General features: G+C 36.3%; 1 long non-coding RNA gene across 4 annotated transcripts in view; it reads left to right on the forward strand.

Annotated features, from left to right (window-relative positions):
* LOC124902439 (uncharacterized) overlaps window positions 1–24,661 on the forward strand; it is an 820,351-nt gene that overhangs the window by 417,770 nt on the left and 377,920 nt on the right. For 3 of the 4 annotated variants that reach the window (XR_007062161.1, XR_007062160.1, XR_007062166.1), the window contains one exon: window positions 11,158–11,294. This is a non-coding gene — a long non-coding RNA (uncharacterized LOC124902439). Of the gene's footprint in view, window positions 1–3,791; window positions 3,924–11,157; window positions 11,295–24,661 lie in introns of those variants that run through there. The other variant, XR_007062165.1, reaches the window with a different exon arrangement.

Consider the following 24,661-nt stretch of genomic DNA (forward strand, 5'->3'; position numbering starts at 1 on the left):
TCTTTACATGCACATCGAGAGACAAGTAAGACCTTATGGTGTTAAGAAGATCAAATGAGATAATTTATGTAGAAGAGTGCTTGGCACATGGTCAGCACTTTGCTCAGCAGAGGGTGAAATGTAGTGACTCTGAGCCCTAGGGTCACAATTAATCCTGATCATTTCTGCTGATGGTACTGATTAGCCAGCTGAGTGGGGATAGTGACATCATGTAATGCCACTCAGATCCCCCTTAAAGAACTAGGCATTTATTCCTAAGAGATTGGCAGTGTTGGCCGCTGATAGCTCAAGACTGCATTCCTTTCTGGGAATTGCCCTCTACTGATGGGTGCTCCCTTCCCAGGGACAGCCCACATTCAATGACTGGTTGCTGTTGGGCGATACAAAGATCTGGCCCCTTTACTTCAATGACAGACACCCCTGAAGGGCTTCCCAGCTTTAGAGCTTCCTGAGTGATTGGCAAAGGCCACAGTTGCAACTGTGTCCCAGTTTGGCTTCTGTCTCTGTTTGGTCTTGATTTCCTTGCTCCCTCATAGTAGTTCCTGAGAACATATCCCATTAAAACTCCTTCAGGCACATCTCAGGACCCTAGAGTCTCTTTCCTCAGGAGCCCAAGGAAGATAGGGGGGATCTCTGTTCGCCCATACCACTCATGGTGCATCTTTTTTGAAGGAAGGGGAACAAAGTACCACAGGTGAAGCTTCCCAGACTCCTGAAAGTCTACGGTGCTAACAACAGTTCTCAGACCAAAAACCAGATGACTGTTTTGGTGGTGTCATCAAGAGGGTTCTTTCCTTTTCTCTCTAAAATTTCCAGGCTTCTCCAAGCTTTTCTGTATTTTTTGTTCACGTAGTCTGATTCAACCCAGACTAATTAAATTCTTTACTTCGTCTACCCTGGTGAGCAGGGTTAAGAGTTGAAGAGAAGACAACTGCTCCTGACATGAAGTCCACACACTCCTCTCTCTCACTGCTTTTTAAGAGGAAGTGACAGACACTTTACCAGGGCAGCATGAAGAGAACCGAATGAGGAATAGAATGTGAGTTTCAGAAAAGACTGCCTGTCAATCAGACTGTGATTTTGAAGTGACTTAGGTATTACCTAGCAAGGCCATGATAGATTTTTGAAAGTCACAGAAGCAAGCTCACATTTTGTTAGAGCTATAACTAGCTTGAAACGATGCCAGATTGCCCAAAGTTAGCTAACTTCTAGGCTGCACCCAAGACTTCTAGCTTAGGAAGATTTCCTTGTTAAGTGAGCAGGTTTAGATCAATCGTATAAACAAGCCTTGTCCAATGCTTACTCACCACATGCAAGACACTTCTTGTCATTTGGGGTCTATAAAGGATGATCCCTGCCTCTGACAAGATTAGGGTTTGGCTGGGATCATAAGAGATATTGCATAAAAACTTCAATCAATGACATTAAATGTTCTGAAGGCAATTCTAAAATCATGATGGTTTTCAAATCATATGCTAGGAAGGCCACCATCACCATTTACTGCCTGTGGCACACACCTATATAAGGTGAGCAGATTTCTTGGTATGCCAGCCAGCTCAGCTGAGTATTCTTACTCCCAAAAGCAGAAAGCTAGGTTTTTTGTTTGCTTATATTCTTGAATATCCAAATATGTATCTGAGACAATTAAGGGCAGAGTGACTGTAGTGTTCTAGTCAGTGTCTGGTTTGATTTAAAAAATGTCCAGCAACTAAGAACCTCAAATGTCAGGGAAAAAAGTTTGTTTTCACATAGCAATATTTCCTTTGGTAATCTGCCATGCAAATAGTCAGCAACTATTGGACTCTTAAATCTTCCCAAGTGTTATGTGTTACAGAAAATAGAAAAGTTATTAAATGTAGGCATATAGGGAAATGTGAATCACAAAATTGAATCAACTAGAATTAAAAGCTTCATATTTTATATGATTTATATTGAGATTAGCATCTTAAAAAATAAATTTATTAAAAGAATAAAACAGTGAGTAAAGTCATCTTCAGGCATTAGAAGGTCTCCTTAGCTTTCAGAATATAGTCTGCCTCCAGAAGCATTCCTAATCATGCAGGAATGGATTATAAATCTTGTATGGAATTGGGGCCATGTTGACTAACCAAATAGAAACATTTTTTAAAGAAAAATATTTTAGGCTGGGCATGGTGGCTCACACCTGTAATCCCAGCACTTTGGGAGGCTGAGGTGTGTGGATCACCTGAGGTCAGGAGTTCAAGACCAGCCTGGCAAACATGGTGAAACCCCATCTCTACTAAAAATACAAAAAATAGCTGGGCGTGGTGGTGGATTCCTGCAATCCCAGCTACTCAGGAGGCTGAGGTGGGAGAATTGCTTGAACTCGGGAGGTGGAGGCTGCAGTGAGCCGAGATTGTGCCACTGCACTCCTGGCCAAAGAATGAGACTCTGTATAAAAAATACATATATACATATATTTTATATTACAGTGTTTTAACAGCTCATTGCTGTTCATTTGAAGCAGGATTTCTTCTTGTAAAGTAAAACTTTATCTCAAATCCCAATTTACAAAACAGGAAAAAAAATCATGCTTTGGTAAAATACATTTTCTAAAATTTACTTCATAAAATGCATTTGAATATCCTAATTGTAGCTTCTTTGATAACCACAAACATTTAATTCAGTACCTAAATTTTTATTTATCTGTGTTAGCTTCACAATATGGAGAAAATTGACATTCAAACAGATTAGGTGAATACAACCTTTTTAAAACACCATGCAATCACAGTGTACTTTTCAAGTAGGTATGAGAAGAGATGTTATATTTAGAGGTTTCTCACAAAACCTTTTAACTGTGCAATAAGCATTAACATATTGGTTTTCTCTAATGTACTATAATTTGGGATTGATGTGTGTATGTTGTTGCAATAGTTTTTTTTAAATAGATTTGCTTTTTAGAACAGTTTTAGGTTCACAGCCAAGTTGAGAGGAAGGTACAGAAATCCCATATATCCCTTGATCCCACACATGCATAGCCTCCACCATTATCAACAGTCCCCACCAGAGTTGTACATTTACTGCAATTGTTGAATCTACATTGACACTTCATAATCCCCTAAAGCCCACAGTTTACATTAGGGTTTACTGCTGGTATTGTACATTTTATGGGTTTGAATAAATGCATAATGGCATGTATTCACCATTATACTCTCATACGGAGTATTTTCACTGCCTTCAAAATCCTCTGCACTCTGCCTGTTCACTCCTTCCTTGCCTCTAATCCTTGTCAATCACTAATCTTTGTACTGTTTGTGTAGCTTTACTGGAATGTCATATAGTTGGTATTATAGATTATTTAGGCTTTTCAGATTGCCTTCTTTCACTCAGTAATGTGCATTTATGTTTCCTTCATGTTTTTGCATGGCTTGATAACTCATTTTTTTAAAAATTTATTTTTTGAGACAGAGTCTCCCTCTGTCGGCCAGGCTGGAGTGCAGTGGTGTGATCTCAGCTCACTGCAACCTCACCTCCCAGGTTCAGGTGATTCTCCTGCCTCAGCCTCCCAAGTAGCTGGGATTACAGGCATGTGCCACCACACCTGGCTAATTTTTGTATTTTTAGTAGAGACAAGTTTTCACCATGTTGGCCAGGCTAGTCTCGAACTCCTGACCTCAGGTGATCTGCCCACCTTGGCCTCCCAAAGTGCTCAGATTACAGGCGTAATCAGTTACAACCACCATGCCCAGCCAACTCATTTATTTTTAATGCTGAATAATATTCTATTATCTGGATATACTCCAGTTTATTTATCTATTCATCTTCTAAAGGACATCGTGGTTGCTTCCAAGTTTTAACAACTAGGATTAAAGCTGCTATAAACATCTGTGTGCAGATTTTGTGTGGATATGTTTTCAACTCCTTGGGAAAATACGAAGAAAATGAGATTGCTGGATTGTATGGTAAGAGTATATTTAGTTTTGTAAGAAACTGCCAAACTCTATTTTGTAATGGTTTTTAAAATTAGTTTAAAAACAAAAATATAAGATTTCAATGACATATTTATAGATTTCTGAAACACTTCTTTCAAGGATAGGCAAATCTCTGCTATAGTGCATAATAAAAATCAAAGCAGTAAGAATGTGGAGCAACAGAAACTCTCATTTATTCCTGGTGGGAATGCAAAATAGTAGTCACTTTGCAAGACAGTTTGGCAAAAAATAAAAATTAAAAAAATCAAAACACTGCTACCTACCCCAAGAGACTGAATTAAGGAACATATAAAAATATGATGGTTAGATGTAAATTAGACCTTTTGTCAATGATAGTTCTTATTTTATTTATTTAAAAAATCTGACTCTACAAGTTACTTTCAGTGTCATCTGGGACCATTTATTTAACCTTTATAAAATGTATTTTTCCCATTTGTAAATTGAAAGTAACAGATACATAATGAATTTTCATGAGAAGAGTAAATTAATATATGATATATACTCTCTCCTTTCTTCCTTTCAATTGTAGACTATTATTAATATTATTATTATTAATGGAATTATAAACTCTATTAACTATCTGTATCATCCTTCCCCTGCTCCACACAGTGAGCAAGAAAAAAATTTATTTGTAATGAAAGTCTTTACAGAAGCATCTCAAAGGGGAACACAGTATATTCTATTGTGTTTCTTACATTTTATCCTGAACATTTATATCTAAATCATTAAAATTTAATTAAATTAATAAAAAATTTTTAAAATGAAAATTGGATCACCTTTAAGAGAAAGACATGAAACTCAAAAGGCTGTGTTTACAGCTCCCTGCAGGTCTTCTAAGTGTAGATGGCATACAATAGTCTCTGAAAACAAACCCCTTAACCTGGGACGCCCCAGAAGTTCTTTACCCATTATATACAAGGTAAAAGTCTGGCAGTTATATTTGACTTTTCTTTTTTTCACTCTCATATCAGTCAGTTGCCAAGTCCTGGCAATGTTCCTGCTTAATCCCAGCATCTACTACCTAGTTAGGCTTTTATTATGTCCTTCCTGGATTAAACTAATAACCTCCAATTCCATGCTTGCCACCTTCCACTAATCTGAATGAGTACCACCCTCTTTCTGAACACAAGTCGATGCCTCAGGTGTTGCCTATGGAGTGAAGTCCAAGCTTCCAGAATTTGGCCCCTGCATCTTCTCAGGCTTATTTTTCACTGTTCTTCACATCAAATTTATTCCTGTTCAACACTGAACTGCTTATAGTTCTGGTACACATCACAGGGTTTCATTTTTATGTCCTTGAATTTCTTCCTTCCTTCATCTAGATAACCCAGCTCAGGCATAAGTTATTTCCAGAACTTCTTTTCTGAGTGCTATCCCCTCTCCCTACTCAACCTCTTTCAAAATTAATTTAGGTACACCTTCTCTAGGTCCTATACATCCCTATTCATTTCTTATCATCTTACCTAGGATAGGACATTGGGATACTCTCTGTTTAGGTGTCGGTATCCGTCTGTCAACTCCTTGAAGAAAAAGCAAGTGTCTGATTGACTCAGTGTCCAGCATTCTTTTTGGTCCCTAGGGGACAGAGAAAAATGTGTGTTTCACTCGTAAGATAAATGAAAGCATGGGTTGCCAATAGTCCCACTCTTTCTCAGTGTAATCAAGAGTTAGTCAATAATGTATTACATCTACCGGCACTTGAGGCTTGCTGATTGCTGATTTTTAAGCACAAACTATTCAGCTTTTCTTTTGCCCTGAGGTTTGTCTTTATAGGACCTGCACAAAAAACAAATTTGGGTAATCACACTCATCCTTTATAGTAGTGGAAGTTTCTGTTTATTGGAACTAAACAATTATGGATGTCTGCATGTGTCCCTGTGCCCCAGTAGGTGGCCTAGTTAATGGGGAAAGCATAAAGTTTAATTGATGGGAATAGTCCATTGTATAATTTGACTTCTTCAGCCAGAATTTTATTGGCAAGCTCAGTAGGACACCCAAGGCCGACCATATCTTTACATTCCTGAACATATACTGAGGACTTCTTGAGACTATGGAAATGTACCAGTATAATTGTGGGAGATGAGTGCATAGGAGATTTACATGAAAGAGGGATTTAAAAGCATCCTGTTATTCTCCTACCAAACATTGGTGAATCTGGATACTGTAAGCCTCTGATTATACTATAATAGGAGTATATATGAACTGAAAAAGGTCAAAAAATGACAACTCAGATTCCTCTAGAAATGAAAAGGTTTGGAATAGGTTTGCTTTCCAAGCCAAACAAAACCCATGACTAAGAAATGCTGTCTATGGTTCAAGGAAATGGTTGAAAATAGACATATTTTCTTCTTCTTCTTTTTTTTTTTTTTTTGAGACGGATTCTCACTCTCTTTCCCAGGTTGGAGTGCAGTGGCGCGATCTCGGCTCACTGCAACTTCCACCTCCCGGGTTCAAGCAATTCTCTGCCTCAGCCCCCCAAGTAGCTGGGATTACAGGCGCGTGCCACCATGCCCAGCTAAGTTTTGTATTTTTCGTAGAGATGGGGTTTCACCACCTTGGCCAGAATGGTCTTAACCTCCTGACCTCGTGATCCACCCACCTTGGCCTCCCAAAGTGCTGGGATTACAGGCGTGAGCCACTGCGCCCAGCCATGTATTTTCTTTTTAGTACCTATTACTATGTAATGTACTATATAATTTACTTTTTATCTTGTTTATATCTGTTTCCTCCTCTGCAATGGAAGCTCCATGAAGGTAAGGGTTTTGTTCTGCCTCATATGCTCCAGTATCCCCAATGCTTAGAATAGTGTGGGTAAAATGATAATTCCTCAATAAATATGTTCTGAATGAATTATTTAATAGGTTAGTAAGATACATTAAAGTGATAGCAAATACTATCGAGAATTGCATAATGGAGAACAGTTAATTCCACATTCTGTGATGGCTGTGGTAGTATCACTATTCCCTTTCAAAGTAATTAATTCATTTTACATCTGGAACTTAAGATAATTATCAAATTTGGAAATATTTGAAATAAATTTAAGTATTTGCTGAGCAAAAATACTGAACCAGGCACTGTACCATTGTACTTTTAGATTCTTCTTATTTCAGTATCACCCTCAGCCTGGAATTGTTCTATTATATATTATCATATCTCCATGAAGATAAGCATTTCCATTTTAAATATTGTAGGCAAGATTTGCTTAAACTATGAATTGAAAATATAATGGAAACTATTTACTAAATCTGAAATCGACTCATATTTCCTTTTTTTCTCAAGCCTCAAATAAAATAAGCAGCTATTGCACTTACATTTACAAAAAACAAAAACACCTAGCAAATTAGTTTAACTAGCAATATCACAATATTCTCAATAGAATTGTTTAATTTATTGAAAGATTTTATTGGAGAAGGAACTTGTCTAGTTAGGTAATTAATGTAGACCAACATCCTTTTAAGTATTAATTTCCTTAAAGTATATTTCTTTCTTTTTCTATATGATCCTTTTCTATTTTTGAAAGGCTCAAAGTACTATTGTTTCATGTTATACAGATACATGAAACCTGAGTCTGTAATAATGATTAATCAAGGGAAAAAAGATGTTACAATATATTATTGTGCATTAAAGAATTTTAAGGTGCCAGCTCCTTGGGAGGCTGAGGCAGGAGAATTGCTTGAACCCGGGAGGTGGAGGTTGCAGTGAGCCGAGATCATGCCACTGCACTCTAGCCTGGGTGACAGAGCAAGACTCCGTCTCGGAAAAAAAAAAAAAGAAGAATTTTAGGGTTAACTGAACATAATTACTTTATTCTCTGTGCTTATTTTCTAAACTGCCCAAATAATTACAAAACTTTTCATAGAATTTCAGTGAAAGAAGAAACTATGAAGGCCGTTTAACAGATATGAAATCTGAGGCCCAGAAAGCACTTGGCTTAAAAATATAGAATTAATCACTGCCAAAGCTCAGATCATAAGAAAGATGCCAGATTTGAAAGATTATATATTAACAAATAGAACATCACTGGAAATAAACATTCAGGAAAAAAAATCTAACTTATTTAAATAGACGGCTTGAATTTAACAGTGTACCAGCATCATTTTCGGCAAAACCAAATTACTTGGCTAAAATAATCCCTTTAGCTTCATTAAATTCTAAAAAGCACAAGTAGTTAATATGTGTTAATTGCTGTTCAGTAAGTAAATATTGTTAAATATTACTAGAAATATATTTTAAGGAAATTAATACTTCAAAGGATGTTGGTCTATACTGATACCTTACTAGATAAGTTTCTTCTCCAATAACATCTTTCATTAAATTAAACAGTGATTCTATTGAGAATATTGCGATATTGCTGGTTAAACTGATTTGCTAGGTGTTTTTGTTTGTTGTGTATCTGAATGTGATAGCTGATTATTTATTCAGGGCTTGAAGGAAAAAAAGGGTTTTCCCTTCAATTTTCATTTGGGAAGAAATACCTTTAAAGGAAGAAAGGAAAAGTGTAATGTAATAATATCGTTGTTCTGGGTCAAATGGACTCAATACGTGGGCTACAATATATTTCTAACTATACATGCAGAATGCTTCAATTGTCTTGTTGCACAGAGAAGAAAACAAATTTTGCATTATAAACTATGTCTACTGTTTTTGCCCACTTTCTTTTTTTATGCATATATTCATTTTGTGATAGAATCAAATAGTCAACACTATTTGCAGATGGAACAATCATTTTTTTCTTTTCAAAACCAAAAGTAAAAATCCATTTAGCTTTGCTCCCATTAAGCTTATGGAGGCAAACTAATTTTCCTTTTTTTTCTACAATTGTACTGATCAAACACATGCTGTAGTATATAAAAGAGTTATTATTAACATATGTAAAACAACATCAACAATCCAAATGGACTATAGTAAGTATGGTGACTGTGAATAATGGCAATTATGAGAATCCATATGCAATTATTTACATTCCTTCAAAAATTGTATAACATGAGTATATTTGATACATTATTTTAAAATCTTGGATTAAGAGTCGGGTGGCTCATGTCTGTAATTCCAGCACTTTGGGAGGCCAAGGCAAGCTGATCATTTGAGCCCAGGAGGTTGAGATGAGCCTGGGCAACGTGGTGTAACCCCATCTCTACAAAATGTACAAAATTTAGCCAGGCATGGAGGCACGCCTCCAGTCCCATCTACTCGGGAGGGTGAGGTGGGAGGATTGCTTGAGCTTGGGAGGTCAAGGCTTCAGTGAGCCATGAATGTACCACTGCACTCCAGCCTGGGCAACAGCGTGAGACCCTGTCTGGAAATAAATAAATAAATAAATAAATAAATAAAACAGGTTTATGTAAAGTAAAAACTCAAAGCTCCCCCATTATACTTCTCCACACAAGTTTACTCCTCAGCCAGAATATGCTAATAACCTTGGGCTATACGGTTTTGATAAAGGTATTTTCAGACCACTTTTTATTCATTTATATGCATGTATTTATATATTTGGAGGTTCGTACAATGCTGAATATACATACCATGCATATTAATGAGCACAAATATTTTCTTTTTGTGTTGTTCTTACTCTTGGTTTTTTACTTGAAAATGTCTTGGAGATATTTTTATACATCATTATGTATAGGTTCTCCAGGTTCTTTTACTGGCTCATGCTTGTTCATTGAATGCAATTTATGTAGTTTCTAAATATATTTTAAGGATTTCCTTTTTTCTTTCTTCTTGATTTTATGAAACAATGGATGAATTTTCATGACTTTTATTTCCTTTCTATGAATCCAGTTTATGATGTCTGTAACAAGACTATTGAACTTAAAGAAAACTGTATAGGAGATACCTTGCATAAGCTGTTATTTCATGAATTGCGAATTTAGAAAAGTCTCATTTTTCAGTACAGATGAATAACACTTTGTAGAGTTCATATTATTAGGAGTTGTTGAGTAGAGCCCTGGCTGATTTGATTGCCTACCAAATCAGGTTTAAAAGCTTATTAAGTGATTACTGGATTTGAAAGCCTATCAAATAATCATCATACTTTCTGATTATTATTAATATATATTTATCTGAAAATTTCTAAAAATATAGGAAACATGGTGATTTCACCACTCAGACATAACTTATGTTATCCTTTTGGTGCATTTTCCCAAAATTGTTCTGTAGGTATATATCGTTGTAGACATATACGCTCAGCTTCTAAAACTAGGCCTCCTGAGTTCACATTCTAGCTCTGCTACTTGTTAGTTATGTGTTTTTGAGTAACTACCATACCGTTCTAAACCTCACTTTCTTCACCTGTAGGATGGGGAGAATAATATAACCTATCTCATACAGTTGTGAGAATCTAATGAAACAAATACATTCAAATAACTAGTAATGAATAAATACATTCGAATACTAACATCTAGCATGTGTTCCATAAATAAATTATTACATAAATAATTTGGATCATACTGCATATAATTTGGTACATTTTTTTCTCATTTAATATGTCCTGAACATTTCTCCAGGTGATTAGTAGTCTTCTTGATTGTTAATTATTTTTAATGACTAAATGGTATACCAGCACGTGAATGTATATTTCATATAACAATCCATTGTTATTGGACAATTCAATAAGTTAAAAGTTTTATGCTGTTAAAATAACAAACATTTGTAGATAGTTTTGTATTATATTCTATATATAAAATTCTCTAAAATGAATGGCCAAGGCCAATAATGTGTGCCACATCTTAAGGCTTTTATACCTGTTGTCAAACTGAACAAAGGTTTGATGGATTTTAAAATTCTTTCAGTGACTTTAAATAAAACAATTATATTTGCTCCTGATTTATTTCTTATTAGATAAACATCTTGGATTAGCAGTGTAAGACAATAATGGTCTTTGATTAAATCGGTGGAATAGATGATGTAACATAAGAACTTATGCATCCAAATAAATGTTACTTTTCAAAATAATTATCTTAGAGAGAATATGCATTTGTTAGACCCATGAGTTTATTTATCAAAAATTTTTTGAAATTATTCTTTGGAAATTGCATAAATATATGGACTTTTTATATTATGGTGTATTATGATTTTCTATTACAAAGTATAATTGAACTTTATCTCTTTTTTCATTAAAGTTGACTTAATTATTTGCAATGTTTCTTATTCAATATCCAACTTCTTACTTATCAATCAGAATCTTTTTTATTTTTTTTTTCAGTTGGCATGATGACAACGTATTTGGCCCTGGCAATAGATTATGGCTGGTACAAACCAGTTCTCAGGATATCTTACAACTAGAGGCAGCCTTAAGACCCTGTTTTGTCGAGAATACCTACTTGGAAGTCTAGTCAAAAGGTATTTATTAAGGTTTTTGCTTTCCTGGTTAAAGGAGATGGTTGTAGCTACCCATCCTTTCTTGTTCTTCACCCTTCTTTTTGCCTTGAATGGAGTCAGGGTAGTTGGGACTGCAAAAGTCATTTTGTGACTAGAGAGATCACCTTAACCTCACTGAGCTTCTGAGTCAAGTCAATAACTGTGTATCTCCAGACTTTTTATTGTATGAAGGGAAAAAGAGTTCTATTTATTTATGCAACTAATGACTTTTACTTGACTTGAAGGCATTCCTGAACATAAACACTGCTACTTTTGCAACTGCTTTTGAGACATATTTATAGAGTTCATCAAAATTAATTGTTCTAGAAGGATTTATGAGTTCATTAAAAAATGGTTAGTTTTTAAAGGCCTAAGTCAAAGAAATTACAGAATTATTGTTGGAAACAACTTTAGAAATTGTTGAATTCAGTTGTTCTCAGTGGAATTCAGTTGTTCTCAGTGGTGGATTTTCATGACAATTATTGTTGGAATTTTAGAGAAATGCACATGTCTGGGCCTCATGCCCAGGCATTGTGGTTCAGTGGATCTCAGGTGGACTCCAGGTATCTTTATTTTTTAAAACTACAGGGTGATTCTAAGTTACTGATCTATATTAGTAATCTTTCTCAAACAATGAACTGTGGACTAACCTGAAATATGTGTATCTAGCAACAGATTAGAATTATTCAGCCTAGATAGACGAAGTAACTTTATGCAACCGTATTATTAGAAAAACTTAAGATGCTGGTAAGCATGGGAAGAAAACAGTCATTGTAAATCAAAGTTAACTATGGATGATTTTCTTTCTAGAAAATAAAAATAAGAGGTTTGATATTATTATTTTAACTGTCTCATATTCCATGAGAATTTCACCTTTCGTTCCACTGCTCAACATTGTTTAGATTTCCAGAATTGACTGAGATTTAGTCCAATGGTGTAGATCTACCTTGTTTGAAAGATTAGGCTAGGTTAATGAATGAAGGCAGCTTGGAGGGGCTGTTGGCAGAATGTGGTGCTAGTCGTCATTGTGCCCTTTCCATTCCCAACTTCTCTACTACGAGAAAGTGAATTTGCTATGGAAACTGGTAAAAGCACAGTCTGATTGCTTTTATTTCAGTTATATGTGCAATTACTTTATAAATTCTTCCAGACCTCAGTTGACAAGTCAATCAGGTTTCTATTTATTATGTAGTCTCAAATGATTTGAATAAGTTATTATTTAATAAATACCCATTATCCACAATGAGCTCTAGTAATTTTTAGAGATAGAAGGCAAATGTTCAGAAATAGTTATTATTTCTAGGCCTAAAAGAATAACTTTTCTTAAATCTCAAATTATGACTTATTAAAGATAAGTTAAACCACTCTCTCGAGCTCTTTCAACTCCAATTTAGCCATTTTCCATTTAAACTAGGATAGTCTTATTTTGTTAATTGTTAGCTCATTCTAGAAAATGTATTTTATATGCATAAATGTTCAAATATACAAATATATACATGTACATTACATATGTCTATATAAATATGCATAATGTATATGTGTATATAGTGAAGTTATGTTTATTCATGTATATGTAATTGTATATATACAGTATATAAGTATGTATGTATATACAGACACACACATTTATTCTAAAGTATATTACATGGTCTCCTAGAAGTATATAGAGAAAATATTTTTGAAGATTTTTTCTATTTTCTCCTATCCCTTCTGCATAAACAAGATCCTGGGCTGCCTGTAGAATTTAAGATATGCTTTAGGGAGTGCTAAATATAAAGAATGCATCCTATGTAAATGGGTCTTAGTAGCTGTGGTTATCTAGGGCATTGGATATATTGTCCTTTTGATTTTATTCTAGGCAGAAATTGGCAGAGAAGACCTAGCGTTCAAGGGTTCTAGACTTCTCTTGGCTATATTATTGTTTGAACCATTTCCAGGCCAGTAGCCTGGGGCTTTAGGGGCTTAGGCAGAGTTTGCTGAGGTATAAGGCAGCAAGTGCTGTTAGCTGCCTGAACAGAGAAGCAGTGTTGTGTTTTGTTGAAGAGCATAGTCTTCAGAGTTTAATTGCAGCTTTCCCATTTGCAAGCTGTGAGCCTGGCCAAGCTATGTGAGATCTCTAAACTTCACACTTGTTATCTCCAAAATTTTTTTTTAAAAAAGGATAAGGATTAAATGTGATAACTCTTGTAACAGCACACAGTGTTAGCTATCGCTGGGCCTAGAATGCAGTAAATGCCCAGCCACTGTTAATTGCCAAATTAATAAAAACTTTTTCATGTATATGGGACAAAAAAGGTAAGTCTTAAATTAACTTGCATAGCATTGGAAATTAGCTAGCTCACATAACACAAAAGTCATATTTTCAAGTTTTCAGATAGCTTAGTCTTGGCTAGATGCATGTTTTCAGGAAACAGAGTAAGCTCAGTGTCTTTCATCTCTCAATTATACTTCTACTTTTGCGTCATTTTCAGGTAGGTTTTCTCTGTTATTTACAAAGGTGACCCCTAGTAGCTTCTACTTACATGGTCCTAACAGCAGAGATCTCAGAAGGAGAGAGTGTATCTTTCCCAATAGTTCCAAAAAAGTCTCAAAGAAGGTTCTCATTGGCTCAGCTTGGATCATGTGCCACTTATTTATCCAATCAATCTAATCACTTGGGCCAAGGTTTGTATTGCTCTGATTAGATATGCGAGATTACATATCCACCCCAGAGGTGGAGATGAGAACTTGTAATTGTCTCTGTGTGTGTTGGGGGTGCAGTAAACATTATCTGAAACTCATAGACTGAGGGTAGAAATGAACTTGTTTTCCCAAAGACAAATGGGAGTTCTGTTCTGCAGCAAGGGGCAAGGAATGTTGGATATGGTAAAAGAAAATCAATAATGACCAGAATATAATCCTCCCAAACTACACGTCTACTCTATATGTAATTCTAGCCATATTTTCTTGCTTTTTTTTATAGCATGAACTCATATTTATTATTAATTTTTCTTTATGAATTGATTCTCCTCCCACTGTTCAGAATGTTTCATGACTTCAGGGATTGAATTTATGTTATTCACTGCTATCACACCGCCTGAGTCTGTAATAGTGTTCTTTTATTTTTAGTTTAATAAATGCTGAATAAATTTTAAAAATACAGATGATGCACTCTGTTTTTGTTATTCAGTGTGACATGCTAGCAAGGAGGTCATCTTCAAATTCCCTCCTTTCTTAAAAGAAAACACATTTTTTCCTACCTTTACTAAGAAATTCTTGTCACCATTGTTATGTTTTCTATGGCTATAATTAAGCCAAGATTTTTATACCATAATTCCTTTAGCCATAATTTCACAGCCTCAGACATGTCAAATTCCACTGCAAACACATGGGCACAGTTTTCTAACTGGTCATTTGCAAACTGTTATTATGAGCTTAGAATAGATTGCTGAATTATCTGAGTCTTTGTCATCAAAGATAATGTCTTAGTCTGTTTGTGCTGCTACAACAAAATACCTGAGACTGCGTAATTCAAAAAGAACAGAAATTTATTTTCTCACAGTTCTGGAAACTGAGAAGTCGAAGATCAAAGTGCTTGCAGATTTGGTTGTCTGGTGAGTGCTGATCTCTTGTTTCCTCACACAGCAGGAGGGCAGGGAACAAGCAAGCAAGCTAGCTGGATGCTGCATGAAGCCTCTTTCATAAGAGCCTTAACCCCCTTAATGATGGAGGAGCCTTCATGGCCTAATTAGTTTTCTTTCTTTCTCTTTCTTTCTTTCTCTTTCTTTCTTTCTTTCTTTCTTTCTTTCTTTCTTTCTTTCTTTCTTTCTTTCTTTCTTTCTCTCTCTTTATTTCTTTCCCTCTTTCTCTTTCTTTCTTCTTTTTTTTAAGAAAGCAATAGATTATTCAGTAAATACATGGAGAACATCAGAATTCAAAAACCATATTTAATCTAAGAATCTGTGAACAAAATTAAAGCACGTTACCTGCTGAAGTTCAGAGTAGCAAGAATTCACATATCTATTAGCCATCTGTGGAAATCTCCCCAGAAAGTTACACCTTGAAAGAATATACAGTTAATGTAGCTGAGTCCAGGTTACCTACTCAAGTTCATCTAAAACAGCAGTGAATTCCAAAAGTAAGATAAGCATGATCTAATTAATTGTAACATGTTCTACATGAAATGATGATGTAATGACAAACACTTTTTGTGCCTGATAAGCCTCTTAATAAAGAAGAGGTAGATGGTTATTCTACTCTTTTATCTATGGAAGAGAAAAACCAATCATAGATATTCTGGTTATAACACAGAATACTTTGGTGGGAATGGTGCACTGGTCTATTAATCCTTTCTTACACTGCTGATAAGAAATATCTGATGTTGGGTAATTTATAAAGGAAAGAGATTCAATGGACTTACGGTTCCACATGGCTGGGGAGGACTCACAATCATGGCAGAAAGTGAAGGAGGAGCAAAGTCATGTCTTACGTGGTGGCAGGCAAGACAGCATGTGCAGGGGAACTGGTCTTAATAAAACCATCAGATCTCATGAGACTTATTCACTAGCACGAGAACAGCACAGGAAAAACCGGCCCCCATCATTCAATTACCTCCCACCAGCGGAACTACAACTCAAGATGAGTTTTGGGTGGGGACACAGCCAAACTATATCAACTGGGTACCCCAGTTTGACTCTACAGCTCCTTTGTTGTGTTTCTGTACCTGTGATTACTATTACCTCTGATCGTGACAACAATGAAAATCATTCTGATGATGACATCTCATTTTCTTGAGCACTAAAGGACTCTGCTAATCATTTGAAATTCATGGTCTCATTTAATGCTTGAAATAAAGTATAAATTGGCACATTTATTTTTTTCCTGTTATTCTTATGAAGGAGAGAGGTTTTGAGAAGTTAGGTCAGTTGCCCAAGATTGTGCAGCCAATGAGTGGTATAGGTGAGACTCCAGTCCAGGTCTGTTTCACTATAGAGTTAAGAGGCTCATAACCACTATCAGCCCTTCTGATGGTTATTTTGATGTCTTTGAAATGATCAATCTACAGTTAAATCTATAAAAGCATCATGTAGAGAACTAAACCCAGGACCCATTATCAGCCAACCAAAGCACAGACAGTTCACAAGACCCACTGTGGAATAGCCAGTTGTGTTTCCCCTCACAGCTTTAACCACACTACTCTGCCATTCACTAACTCTAGTTTGTCTAAGGTAAGCACTGGAGATTGCCTTAATACTGCTTATGTGAATCTTTAAAATCCTATTATTGGTTTCTGAAGGCTTTCATCCATCACCCCCTTGTGATGAATCTCTAACAAGGCGTTTGCCCCTCCTTTCACTTTCAGATTCCCTCATCCTCAATAAATTTCTCTGTGAAGCCACAATTAATCTTGAGTAGCACATTAACCTTGTTCATATCAAAGTAACCCTGCAGGTTTTGCAATTTTACATGCGATTAGAGACAGGTACCTCACACACTGCAAGTCTCCTTTCACCACGGGCAGCAGGGTAAGGATGAACTTTCTGATCTCTGCTCCCATTTATCTCTGTTCCCCAGTCAGCTTGGCTATCTACAAGGCCCTGCTAGCCTCCCAGCTTTTACACAACTCTGGCTCATCTGTCTGCATTTTTCTCTCTTATCCACTTATCATCTGATGAAAGTCCCTTTGTATCTTTCCATTTTCTTAAATGCCATTGCTCAATAAATTAGTTTGAATTAAACATTCAAACTTTTCAGGCTATATAGAAAATTTAAACCTTATATTTAACTGATTTTTAAAAAAATACCCGCTTAATGTCTGAGTGACTGGATTCCCCTTCAGAGAGCATTGACTGTTTGCATTCAGAAACTCAGCTAATAACTCATACTCACTATGTCTCCAAAGGTAAGAAGGTTGATTAGTTCATCAAGATTCCACTGGAGACAGCCCCTTCTGCCGTCTAGTTATCTGGTGACAGTCAGTGATAAGCGGAGACAGCCATGCTTAGGCTCAGAGCAAAAAGCTTTTTACATAGTGTGATCAGAAGGTGACATGACCCCCCTTATCACCCATCTATATTTCACTTGCTCATCTGCTTTGGAACTTAACATTCCAACCATTTTAATAATATTTCAAATTTACACATTAAAGGCCTTTTTAAAATATAATTAAGTCACATGAGAAGGGTCACCTTTCTAGACGTTAATGTCTATTAACATAAAATTAAGGATTAGTTTTGAGTCACTTTAATGACTCAAGAAGGGCAAGAAGAGAATAATAGAGTGATATGATAAACTTAGATGTGATGAGGTGTTGGGAATGTTTTACATCAGGTGGCTGCACATGGAGGGCAGGTTTGGATGGGGCATTGCAGTGAAAGGTTCAGGAGAATCAGAGTGAAGGATGAAGTTTGTCAACATAAATGAGTTGGGGGCGGAGGAATTATCCTACAAAGGTTGAAGTGGACAAAGAGTCTGGGAAAATGCTAAACTATATATGTCTATTTTAAAATTTTTTCAGTGGCTCACAGTTATTTTAAAATGGATAATTTGAACTTAATACTTGTTTCTTCTTTTCTTATAACAGAAATTATAGCAAAGAGCAAAGCAAAGGCATTGCCATATCTGATGAAATTGGTCTGCCAATATTTGTTTCTCATAGTTTCCTAACTGAAGCTCCAGATTTAAAGAAACCGGAAAGATGTACATGCCTCAAATGGAAAATTTTCAAGTTCCTTTATGGAGAGTGGCATTAAGCAGGTCCTTTAGATTCAGTTAACTAGCATGTTTCACTAGTTTAAAGCCTCATAAAATATAGGTGAGATGAAAAGAGTATGATGTGTGGAATTTACAATGCAAAGAAGTACTTTTTAAACACAACATTGAACACTTAAAGGTAAAATCATCAAATAGAGTGTAATCATGGAGGAAAAGGAAGGATAGCCAATCTGCCTATGAGTTCAACACCAGTAGATTCAGTACCTTAAACTGATTATTAGTCCCTAAGTGAGAAACAGTTAAAAAGACCAAATGGCCAAGCATGGGAACATAAAACTCCTATTGCAGAAAGGTGAGTTTTGAAAATTAGACAAAAAGGTGGAAGCTATTATTATGGAAAAGAAAAATCTGTAGAGCAAAGATCACCAAGGATGACAGTGTCTGGGAAACCAATAGCAACAACTCTATTTTCTGAGGGTGGCAGACTCAAAGGGCTCTAGCAATAATTAAAGAGAAGAATGAGACAGAACCTGGTGGCCAAGAAACAAACACACAAACAAAAAAAAGGGCTGAGCAACCAGAGATAACCTGAGGGAAATCTACATCAACAGAGAATCTTAAAAAAAAAAAAAAAAAAAGGAGGTATGGGGGTTTGGAATTACTGTTTTTGGTGAAATCAGTTAGAATACCACTATGGAATAATTGCTTGAGAAAGAACAAATTTCTTTAAAGAACAAATAATGGGACAGGGGCTTATTCTCACAAGATACTAGAATCATAGTCTTTGTGAATCTCTTGGACTCTCCTGGGACTTTGTTCTAGTTCTGGAGTCATAGGGGATGTTTCCAAATAGGCAGTCATGGGAGAGTAAGATAAACCTGTTTTATTTTTTAAACCACCTTTAAAATTAAGCCATTTAGTGGATTATCCTTGATAGAGGTAAAGAACAATTGGAAAACAATGAAAAAAGCCAGGAAAAAAATGGTTAGGGAAAGAGGTGGTCATATGAAAAGAAAAAAAAAAAAAAAAGGAGAAGGAACATAATATAAGAGGAAACAAACCTAAGTGTTTTTTTTTTTTTCTGAAGACTTTATGAGGTGCCTGGTACTGTAATAGCTCTTTTATAGTCTTTAACTCTTTTTATCATTTCAAAAAGTATTCCCATTTTACAGATAAAAATGAGGCACAGATCTAGGTATTACATAGCACACATAGCTGCTTGTATCCGTAATCAAGGTTGATCTCTGTGACTGTAACTACCATACTTTTCTACGACAGGTTTCATAGATTTGGATTTAGAAGACCTGGATTCAGTCTTACAGTCTTGCCCTGTCACATATCAGCTATGATGCTACTTTTTTTTTTTTTTTTTTTTGAGATGGAGTCTTGCTCTGTCACCCAGGCTGGAGTGCAGTGGCATGATCTTGGCTCACTGCCTCAGCCTCCGAGTAGCTCCGAGTAGCTCTGAGTAGCTGGAATTACAGGAATGCGTCACCATCCCTGGCTAATGTTTGTATTTTTAGTGGAGACGGGGTTTCACCGTGTTGGCCAGGGTGTTCTTCAACTCCTGAACTCAAGTGATCCATCTGTCTTGGCCTCCCAAAACGCTGGGATTACAGATGTGAGCCACCACGCCTGGCCTGATGTTAAATTAATGCAACTATTTGTTTATTTATTAAGTGCTTACTATGTGCCAGTGGCGCTTCTAGATGCCTAGGAATCAGCAATGGATCAAACAGAGAACAATTCCTACTTTTATACAGCACATATTCTAGTGGGGGTGGGGGCTTGTGGGGGGACCTCAGATGAGTGAATACACTTCTCTCAATTTGTCTCATTACCTCTAAAATGAGACATTTATAATGTGTCATTCACAAGATCTGTTTCCATGACTGAACTTCACAGCTATAAACTGTGATACGCTTTACAAATACTATTCTCTGATCATCTAGAACATGCCTGGCATGCAGTGGTGCTCAGTAACTGCTGCATGAGAGGACAGCAAAGAGGAGAGCAAGGGAGGCAGGGGAGGGGCACAGACAGTAGGTGGGAGTGATGCCTGTAGGTGTCCTTCAGGGCTTCTGGTTACAGATGACCCAGTCATATTTCAAGGCAGAAGCAGAGTAGAATATTGGCAGGGATGGATCGTTTCAGTTCAATCCCAGGGAATGTATTACTTGAAAAAATAAAATTACAGTCTACGCAGCTTACAAAGCAAATAGTTTATATTTGGAGTTGGAATGGCAGGATTGATGTAGGGATCAGTAAAGCAACATCTAGGAAGGAATCTCATGGATAGGACTGAGACATTGACACTCATGGAGCCATGTGTTAATAGTACAATGGATGTTAGAGTTCGTTCCAATTCCCCTGGACTTCTGCCCTCCCCACCTTTTAAGAAAAAAAAATGTAATTCTGGCATGGTTGTCCATAAAATACCAATGAGGCTTAAGATGGCATCAAATCTCAGGCCTAGACTTGGCATCTCCCACTCTGTCCATGACAGGACATTACCTCTACTTTCCTTCAGATATTTCTGGCTCATTCAGGTCCCAAGAGTGGTGGGGCTGGTGTTTAATGGGTGTCTGTCATCTTGCAAACATGCGTGAGTCTATGCTTATTCCCCTCTATGTAGTGAGACTCGTGTAGGGATAACAGTCATTTGAACTGATTGAAGTATTCAGATGTGCCAGATTTCCTAAAGTCAGAGATGAGATCTCAGAGAGCCACACATACAGACACACACATACCCACAACTTAAGGCAAGGTATGTCCACACAACAGAAATGAGAGACACTGCAGTGTTAGAATTTGTTTTGGAATCCCAGGTACCAAACAGAAATGGAATTAAACTTTGTGCAGGGATTAAAACTTTATTTTCACGTAGTAGCACTTACACTAGGTACTTTTTACTCCTTCTGAGCCACGCTGCTTACTTAAAGGGTGCTGTGAATAGTGGTTGCTCTACAGTCTCCTGACTAACTGTGTCTTTCCTGCCAGTTTACTTAGTGGTAAACATCACAACGTCTCCATGTCCATTTACAGAGCATATGAAACAAAGGAACAGAGGAGGAGTTTGTGTGATAGTGATCTTTTTGTGATTCCAAATGCCATGTTCTTACTCTACTTCATCTTTCCGTCATGTCTTTATTTGGACCAGGCAGTAGCATTTCTGTCAAACCAGCTGGCTTCAGGGCAGGTAAAAACGTTCTGACATTCTCTGAAGGGGCTTGACTTATAAAGGCAGTACTTGCAGCTGTTTCTGTTTGAAGAACTTTTGAACAATTTGAAAATCATCAACTATTTAAAATGTAGCAAAAACCACTTCATCCAAACTACAGTAACAATTTGGTGACAGCAACATACTCTGTCATGACTCTGCTCCCAAGTCTACTAGAAGTAAATGGAAGGCTCTATCTTCTGACTTGAGAAAGACTGCTATTTATAGAGCATTTATTTATGTCTGAAGCACATTTAAATATAAATTGCAATACTTAATGCCTAGTTTTATGACATGTCATTTACAATCCATTAATATGTTATTGCATGAATTGTATAAGAAACAGATTTATAGACCTCAATTATGGTATTAATAAGGGATGATGGAATCTCACTGAAGATGTATTTCCCTTCAGTTTTTACAGAACTTTATTGTTACAGCATGATGTGAACTAGATTCTTAATGTTTTATTGTAAGAGGACTGGAAACAAGTGTTCTGATAGGCAGAAGGCATAAGAAAAGCATTCATATTCTCTCACTAAAGATTATTGCTTTAAAATCAATGAGGAAAAAATAGGCATATATTGGGTTTTGACAATAGAATATTTTAAATCAAGTTGGAAACTAAGTTTGATTTGATCTCATGATGTATAGTAGTAATCTATTTCTAAAGTGTTTTTTTTTTTAGATAAGAGCCCCAACTATTCACTGAAAGTGGCAGTTCACTTATTTGGGGTCACAGGCTTAAGTGTATTTTGATTATATAAATTTAGAAGAAATTTCAAGGTAACGTCTTCAACTTTTATTTACAAAGGGTATGAGGACGGGTCAATGAGTATGAAATGGGCTGTATACTTGGATTACCAAGCACAGTGCTTTCCAATGTCACAACAATTAGTTAGAGAATTAATAATTAGAAATAAAATGATGCAAAAGACAGAGGACCCAGCGATAAGAGGGTTGAGGTTTCAGAAATAATTCAGGGCTCAATAAAGTGGCACCTGACATAGAACGTATAAACTGTGCACCTAGGGGCTTAGGGCCCAGGGAGTGGAGCACAAAGTTGGCAAACATCCAGGAGGCAGGGAAACTACTGTCAACTTGCTCTGGGTAGGTGAAAGAGAAGGGACTCAGGTGACTGACATTGGAAATAGAAATGTGGAAACACCTTAAGCTTTCTGAGTAAAAAAAGAATGCTCTTCCAGTAACAAACATGAACAATGTTAAACATAATGCTATTTTTAGCAGTAAGGTTACTTAATCTAGATTTTCTGCTAATGCAGTGTCAAGAAACTTAGCTGGCAGAATGGGAGACAATAACTTGTCTGGGATATGATCTAGTTGGCATCCATGTGTCCCAGGTGGAAATTACAAGTAGGTTTCAAAGCTTCAAGGACTCATTGAGCATTAGGAGCGATCTGGTGCCGACTTTTTCCCTGGAAGCATCCAGGGAAACAGAACAGCTCTACAATCACTGTTTCTGCACAGACAGTAGCACGTAGAGGTCATAAAGCCATCTGGCTCTCTTGCCTATGTAAGAGCTATGCGTGGGAGAACTCAAAGGACTGATTTCACTGCTGACATATGAGAATTTCAGTCCATTTAAAATAATTGGCTATAATTTCTATATTGTGATTTGCAACTAGTGGTTAAGGAATCGTCTCCTTTCCCTATATTTGCAAATGGTGTGCATTAATTACAGTCTTATTTCTTTGCTTAAGAGAATCAGACTGGCTTATAGCAACAGAGTCATTTATATTTTCTTCATACCATTTATTAACACAAGGAGTGTCTCTATTGCTATTTTCAGTTATCACTTCCTTTTGCTAAGAGCATTATCAGTTTTATCTGTCATTATTTTTGTTTCTATCATATTTCCAAGATGCTGATGACAGTATGTCATTATCAACTAAGAGGTTTGTAGCATTTAACTCTTTATATGCAACGCACAGTATAACTGATCTGTATAGTAAATTAAAATTATGTAGATAATAATGAAATTTACCCTTGTAAGGAACTTTAAAAATCATTTGTTTAAAATGGAAATCCTTATTTTAAATAGAAGATGAAAGCCTGCAGAAACGAAATGACTTGGCGAACATCGTACAGTGAATTAATGGCAGTTCTAGGATTAAAATTCAATAGTATGTGTATTTGGTACATATTATGAAATAAACATTATTCTAAGGCTTTACCTATACTAACTAACATAATTCCCATAATTATTGCATGTAGTAGGGCTACTATTATCCTCATCATAAAGATGAGGTAACCAAAAGTAATCTCAAAATCATCCAGCTGGTGACTAGTAGAGCAAGGAGTAGGAACCAAGGATTCTGTCCCCAGGGTTGTCATATCTTAATCTCAGAGATTCTGATTTCAAGTCCAATGTCCTATATACTTAGAAGCTCATTATTTAGAATATGTTTATGGTCTTGTTTATTTATAAAAACACAGGAAAATGTTTTTGTAACAACCTGAAGGGGATAGAGACTAAGTAGTATCCAATTTTATAGATGAGCAAATTAGAGACAGAAATAACACGTCTAGTTTAGCTTATGAACTGGTGGCAAAACAGAGCAAAACTCTTTTATTTACTTATTGCTTAAGTGTTCAGAGCAAATGACTAGTTGGCTTTAATCCTAATGTCAACCCCACCGAATTTCTGGCATCTATTCTCTTTCTTCCTCAGTTTCCTCAAACCAGGGCTCACCTTCCTGCACAGAGATAGTGTTTCTGCAGTTAAGTCACCCAGCTCCCTCTACACTGCCCACAATAACATAGGGTTTAGCATTAAATCAGTCAGGGTCATTCATCTGCTCATCAGGATCCTAATTTGCAGTCTGAGCAACTTTGCTGTTCATGGGACTTAGAGTCAAGCTAGTGTTTCTACTGCACTCTCACAGATTCCAAGATCTACACCTTATCATCCTGTGTTGGGCATGGAATATTCACATTTCTAAACTCAAGCAGTCATCTACGCCATAGTCCACAGAGAGGATCGGTCAGGGTCCCTGGTTCTGATGGCCTCTTTCTAATCTGCATAGAATCTTACATGCAAGGCAAGCCCTATGTTGTTCTCCTCTATTCTAACATTCAAAGATAAGAAGAGCATGAGATCATGTATGCTACATAAAGACTGTAGCACTGTAAGGATGAGCCAGCAATGTAATCATAATTGTTATTTTAGTTACTTTTAGGGACTGAAAATGACTTTAGAGGACCAGAGCTGGCTCTAGAGTAACCTTCTATCTTTTGCCTTAAATTACAGTGGTACCTCAAGCACTTTCCATTGTCTTTGGGACAATTTTGTTTTCAAATTGAAAATAAAATAAAGCTACTTTATATTAAGGTAAAGATGCCCTTTAAAGTATATTAATATTTTAACAAAATATATTTTAATATAAATAAATGACTTTTTGGAGGGTAACAATAT

Source organism: Homo sapiens, chromosome 10, assembly GCF_000001405.40.
Source record: "Homo sapiens chromosome 10, GRCh38.p14 Primary Assembly".
NCBI lineage: Eukaryota > Metazoa > Chordata > Mammalia > Primates > Hominidae > Homo > Homo sapiens.